Source organism: Homo sapiens, chromosome 3 (genome assembly GCF_000001405.40).
Source record: "Homo sapiens chromosome 3, GRCh38.p14 Primary Assembly".
In the NCBI taxonomy this organism is placed as follows: Eukaryota; Metazoa; Chordata; class Mammalia; order Primates; family Hominidae; genus Homo; species Homo sapiens.
The window spans coordinates 171,804,363-171,811,355 of record NC_000003.12 but is presented as its reverse complement, the minus strand read 5'-3'; the positions used below and the strand labels follow the sequence as shown (position 1 = coordinate 171,811,355).

Genomic DNA, 6,993 nt, shown 5'->3' with positions numbered 1-6,993 from the left:
TGACGTTATTAGCAGTTTGGTGCATGGGGAGGCCATTGCTTCCCCTGGCTTTGGCGGGATGCAATATCGTGTAATGAGGTTGGAACTGGCCTATATTCAAAATTACATTCCCAAAGGGCTGCTATTCAAGCCACATGACAACTGGTTCTCTTTTTCTTAAGACTTTATTCTAAGTGGACTGAAAACAGCAAAATTGCCGTGTTTGAACGGTTCCATAGGTGGAATGGGTCTTTTCCCTGTTTTGCTCCCAATTTATTATTTTATGCTAAGATTTCTGAATTATAACCAGTTTTAGAGACATCGGGACACAAATTCCCGTCCCCCTCCATCTAAGCTGTGTGACCTCGGGCTGGTTCTGAGCCTTCATTTCCTTACCTGTAAATTGGCGATAACACTTCCCTAAGGAGGTGCAAGAAGGCTTATAAAGACTCCAGCAAAGCTCCAGTCTCTTAATTATGTCACCTCAGGCAAGTTATTTAGCCGTTTGATTTGCTGATTCCTTACTTATAAGTTGGACCAGTTGTGGCTACTATCCGCAGTAGTCGAAGAATAGATATCATAGGCAAAGCTCCGGGAAAGGTGGCTGGTCCTTGGCGGCTCGAGAGGACCTGATAATGGTCCTAATAGCGAGCATTCCCTAGGGTGATGCGGTCGAGTTATGAAACTTTGGGAAAAGAGAACAAGGAACGCGGGCGATCAGAGGCCCAGTCGCGAGACCTGCCCCGCTGGGGCCTCCAGCCGGCACCGCGACGCCCCGGGACCTGGCACCGCCTCGCTCCACCCCTGCGAATCCGGGGCGAATCCGGGCGGAGAGTTCCTGCCGGCCGCGCAGCGCAGAGCCCCCTCCGGCCCGCCCTCTCTCCCTCCCTCCCGCTGAGCTCCAGCTGTGCCAGAGGCACCCGAGCCCTGAGAGTCCGCCGCCAACGCGCAGGTGCTAGCGGCCCCTTCGCCCTGCAGGTAGGAGCCGCGCCGAGACCCGGATCACCGGGCGCCCGTGGGAGCCGGGTTTCCACTGCCCTCGCCCTCCGTCCCTCCTCCGCCCAACCTGGGCAGCTGGCCGCTCCCCGCCCAACTTGGACGGGATTTCAGCGAGTGAGTCGGCGGCGGACTCCCTAGCGATCCCCAAGGGCCTCCCTCGCACGCCTTCGGGTGGAATTCCTGCAGGGTGAAAGCTGACAACTCTGGCACGCACTTTTGCCGCGCGGGCGGCTGCCTGGAGCGCAGAGCCGCGCAGGCTCAGGCTGAAGCCCAGGCGTCCTCTGCAGGATGCACCGCCTCGCCGCCACAGGGCTTCGGGTGCAGTGTGTGTGGTGTCCCCAGGTCATCCGGGCGCCCTTGGTTCGGGTGCGCGGTGGCATGACTGGGCTGGTGGGGGCGATGGGACCGGCATCCCGTACCAACCAGGAAGTGCCGCGTCCCAAGGCTTCGAGCCCAGCCCGCAGAGCACGGTCCTGGGGGTGTGATCACAGCTGCTGACCGCGGCTCCCGCCGTGTGATGTGACCACTCGGAGGTGGGGCGAGGGGGCCGGGGGCCAGCAGCAGGGAGTGTGTAAAAGGTCTTCTTCCTCACAATACGATTGAAGGTGTTTGGGACGTAGGGCTCAGATCCAGGAGTGCCGTCCTCCAAGCCTTCCATAGGATTTTGTGACGCCCTTGAGAACCGCCCTTGTAGACTCAGTCCTGAACTACCGCCACGCCTGTATTTGCTCCTCCTCATCTCGGATTATTGCTTTCTTTACTTCCTCTGTGAAGCACTAAATACTAGTAGCTTTTTAAGAACAGACCACAACAGTTTCTTCGTTTGACCATTACTAAGTCTGCCTCCAAAATGGGGAGTTCCGTTAACTTTATCAGCCAGCCCTGCCAATTTTAGTTAAGATAAGCCTTCGTGGGCCTCCAAAGGCCTCTGAGAGACTAGGTACCCAGAGACCTCTGAGGTATGTTAAATGGTTTAGTTCGTGGTGGTGCAATGAAAACTTAAAGAAGGAAAGGAATCTGCAATTTGAACTGTTAACAGACCCCACATTTACACACTGCCTATTTGAATAAGAATCTCTTTCAGTATTAAATGTTTTGTGACACACAAATGAATTTGTACACAGTCTTTTAGCTTGAATTTGTAGACAGCCTTTAAATGTTGTTTGGGGATCTTTGGACTAATTGTATAAGCGCTCAGTCTGGCTTCTCAAGAACCAGTACAGTTAACAATCCATATAAAAAGTTGGAGTGCTGCCTGGGCGCGGTGACTCACGCCTGTAATCCCAGCACTTTGGGAGGCTGAGGCGGGCAGATCACCTGAGGTCAGGAGTTTGAGACCAGCCTGGCCAACATGGTGAAACCCCGCCTCTACTAAAAATACAAAAATTAGCCAGGCGTGGTGGCACACGCCTGTAATCCCAGCCACTCGGGAGGCTGAGGCAGGAGAATCGCTTGAACCCGGGAGGCGGAGGTTGCAGTGAGCCGAGATGGAGCCATTGCACGCCAGCCTGGGCGACAGGGCAAGAATCTGTCTCAAAAAAAAAAAAAAAAAAAAAAAAAAATTGAATGCTAAGGCTTTGAGGAAAAAGTGTCTTTACAATGTTTGTCCCTGATGACAGAATAATTATGAACTATAGTAAGCGCTGTACAATGCTCATTTAGGTTTGTAGACTTACTTATAACCAGGTAGTGGGGAACCCGGCTTCTTGGAAGTTGTATGTTTACTTAGTGTTTCTTAATTAAAATTACAAATTTTATTTACCTTTAACTCTTATAGGTAACTTTTATTTTTGTTACAAAGGAAAAGTAGGACTGTCATTATTATTATTATTATTATTTTTTGAGACGGAGTCTCGCTCTGTCGCCCAGGCTGGAGTGCAGTGGCGCGATCTCGGCTCACTGCAAGCTCCACCTCCCGGGTTCACGCCATTCTCCTGCCTCAGCCTCCTGAGTAGCTGGGAAAACAGGCGCCTGCTGCCACGCCCGGTTGATTTTTTGTATTTTTAGTAGAGACGGGGTTTCACCGTGTTAGCCAGGATGGTCTCGATTTCCTGACCTCGTGATCCGCCCGCCTCGGCCTCCCAAAGTGCTGGGATTACAGGCGTGAGCCACTGCACCCGACCCTATTTTTTTTTTTTAATAATTTGAAATTTTATTTTAGATACAGGGGGTACATGTGCAGGTTTGTTACATGGACATACAGCATGCAGCTGAGGTTGGGGGTACAACTGGTCCCGTCACCCAGGTGGTGAGCATAGTACCTGATAATTTTTTAACTTTTGCTCTCCTTCCTCCCTCCCACGTCTAGTAGTTCCCAGTGTCTATTGTTGCCGTCTCTATATCCATAAGTACCCAATGTTTACCTTCCACTTATTAGTGAAAACATGCAATGTTTGATTTTCTGTTCCTGCATTAATTTGCTTAGGATAATGACCTCCATCCGCATCCATGTTTCTACAAAGGACACGATTGTGTTACTTTTTATGGCTGCATGGTATTCTATGATGCATATGGACCACATTTTCTCTTATCCGGTCCATAGTTGATGGGCATCTAGGCTGACTCCATGTCTTTGCTATTGTGACTAGTGCTGTGGTGAACATATGAATTTGTGTGTGTTTTTGGTAGAACAACTTATTTTCTTTTGGATATATACCCAGTAATGGGGCTGCTGGGTTGAATGGTAGTTCCGTTTTGAGTTCTTTGAGAAATCTGCAACTGCTTTCCACAGTGACTGAACTAATTTACGTTCCAACCGACAGTGTATAAATGTTCTCTTACAGGATGTTTTTTTAAAAAATTTTTTTTCTCTTATAATTTCACTTTTGTTGTGGTAAAATATGTACAACATAAAATTTACCATTGTAGCCATTTTTAAGTGTACATGTAGTGGCATTAAATACATTCACATCGTTGTGCTACCGTCACCACCATCCATCCACAAGACTCTTCATCTTTCTTACAGGGTTTTAATAACATTTTAATGATAATGGTTGTGTTGCAGGCTTTAGTTTTATCACTAAGCAAGGTTTGAGTTCCTTCTCGTAGCTTTAGAGAAATGCACCTTTTAAACTTTTTTTTTTGAGACAGGGTCTCACTCTGTTGCCCAGGTTGGAGTGTAGTGGCACAACAGCCTTGACCTCCTAGGCTCAAGTGATACTCCCATCTCAGTTTCTGAGTAGCTGGAACTAGAGGTGCGCATCACCATCCTTGGCCAGTTTTGTTTGTATTTTTATAAAGATGGCGTCTCACTGTGTTGCTAGGGCTGGTCTTGAACAGCTGGGCTCCCGCAATCCTCCTACTTCGGCTTCCCAAAGTGCTGGATTACAGGCATGAGCTACCATACCCAGCTGAGAAATGCACTTTTAAAAGAGAAAAGGTAAAAAGCCATAGCCAGACTGTTTAACAAATCTTATCTACAGCAGGAAAGACCTAATACATTACTGTTTGAGGATAAGCTTGTGATGTATTTAAACTTGTGTCTAAGGGTATTGTGGGGTTTAGCTGTCAAGAGGAAGGAACACGTAAGGGAATTATTGTTATTGATCATTTCCTCTCCTGAGTATCTATCAGAAAAATAACAATTGTCAGTGTTGTCCTCTATAGCAGTGCAAATAGTACCTATCTAAACTATGCTTGAGCTCAGGTAGTGTTGCCTTTTTAGTAACTAAAAGCAGTGTGTAGCAATTTCCTGTCCATCCCAGATGTTTACTAAAGATTGATACTAGGGGACCCAACACATAAGATATGTCTCTTTAAACTTGTAGTTAGGCTGAGTCATTGTGTTCACAAGAAAAGCTGTAGCTCTGCAAGGTCTGGTTTTGTGTTTACAATCCTTTAAGTCTTAGCACCACAAAATAAAATGTATTTGCTAGGGTGTGGCTAAAAGTTGTTGCAGGGTTAAAATGAGAAACATGTAAACCTAACTTTCCCATAAGCCTGTGACATTTCTGATTACAAAGAGAATCATACAAATCGCATCTTATGCTTCAGTGGGAACACATTCCAGTGTGTTAGTTTCCCTAAATTCACAGTGCAGTGTAAAATCTGGACCCCAGCTGTTTTAGTGCTGGGTTATTAAGCAAAAGTGTATGTTACGTAAGTGTTTCATAGTGTCACAGTGTTTTTTTTCTGTTGTGAAACTTTCTTAATTTTTAAATTTATTGAGCAAACATTACAACGACAGAATAAAATGAATTATTTATTTAATAAACACTTACGTGGTGTTTACTTTGTGCCTTGCACTCATCTAAGCATTTTACAAACATGAATACATTTAACCCTCAGAACAACCCTGTAAAGTAGGTAATCTTATTATGGCCGTTTAATTTATTTATTTATGTTTGTTTTACTGTATTTTATTTTGTAGAGATGAGGTCTTGCTATGTCACCCAGGCTAGTTTCAGACTTCTGGGTTCAAGTGGTCCTCCTACCTTGGCTTCCAAACGTGCTGGGATTCACAGGCATGAGCCACTGAGCCTGGCCTATGCCCATTTTATAGATGAGGCAGTTTGAGGCATAGTGAGATCCCACAACTAGCACATGGTAGAGCTGGGGATCCATCCCAGGCAGCTTGCACCCAGAGTTTTGACACTGCTGTCTGTCTAGAAAAAAACATAACCTGTGATTCCATCCTCTTAACAAACTTTTTTTTAGGTTTTTTTATTTCCATTTCGTCCTTGTTCTTTGACATAATTGCAATTATAGTGCAACTCAGACAATCTGTTCAAGTCCTTTATTTTTCGGAAAACGAAATTAAGGTGGAGCATGGGTATGTCAAAGGGTAGAAGCACTGGGGCAGGGTCCTGGAGATCCTCTGCTGGGCCAGGCCTTAACTCCTGATTGTGAGGAGATTGGGCCAGGGATCCTGGGAGAGTCTGGGAGGCCAGGTGTATTTGGAAGGGGTTGGGTGTTATGTGCAATATTTCCAGAGGGAAGCATTTCAATATTTTAATAATTGTTATGACCATACTAGAGCTAATCTGCTAAATAAGGGCCCACATTATGGCCGACTGGGTCATGGCAGGTCTTGCTTCCTAGGGCTCCAGAATCCTGGATTGCTTCCCCCGTTGCTCCTAATGCCCGTGACCCTCAGCTCCCCTCTGGATGAGGGCAATATTTTATTCTGTACTCAATCATTTTTTGAACTTTTTGGATCTAGAGTTGGGAACCTTTTGGAAGCCTCTGACGCACAAAAGAAAACCAGCCAAAAGCAACATGGAAATAAAAATAACTTAGTTTAGTCAGTTCTTTTGTTAAGAAAGAGAGAGAGAGACTTCTGAGGCCATAAACTTATGAACTTTATATTAAGAACAGGAAAATAAGGGTTCAGAATTTAACAGTGATCTTTTTCAAAGTAGGCTTTTACAGATGGCACATTTAGATGAAGGAGAATAGGAATAAACATGGGGAAAAGGAAAGCCGTAGAAAGGGAGGGGAGAAACAAATGCAGAGACGAGGCATTGGCAGAGGGCCACAGATAGGAAGCAGGGAGCTAATACCTTTGTCAATTCTTTACAAAAAGCCTTGCATCTCAGTGTGTTACCACTGGATGATGCCTTCAAAATCTCATAAGCAGTTGGAGATGATCTTTCCTTTGGTTTATCTTGATGGGATCTTAATGTTTAAACTGTTGCTAATCAACAAAGCATGTGGACAATAAGATACAAGGGAACTCTTAGCCCCTGATTGGGATCTTCATAACAGTCTAGTCTAGTTTGGTTTATGCCACTTTCCATGGGTGGATTTTATATGTAGTGTGATATTAGAATCACTGGATTTGCCATTATTTTTTCTATTGTCTGTCTTCCGTGTGAGAGGGCAAGGTCCTTGAGGTCACAGACTGTGTTTTTGTCATTTTTGTGTCTCCAGTGTCCATTGTAGTGTACAATAGATGTGAACTGAATGAAAGGGTACATGGATGAAGGGAGAAGGTGTAATCCATTTTATTCAAAATACATAGGTATTTCCAGAAAATAAGTCTTTATAATTAACGTTTTACTTATTTATTTGCTC

General features: G+C 45.3%; 1 protein-coding gene across 2 annotated transcripts in view; it reads left to right on the top strand.

The window, feature by feature from the left end:
- Positions 873–6,993, top strand: part of PLD1 (phospholipase D1) — a 210,080-nt gene continuing 203,959 nt past the window's right edge. For both annotated transcript variants that reach the window (NM_001130081.3, NM_002662.5), the window contains exon 1: positions 873–957. The gene's annotated coding sequence lies outside the window, so the exon portion shown is untranslated. The remainder of the gene's footprint in view (positions 958–6,993) is intronic.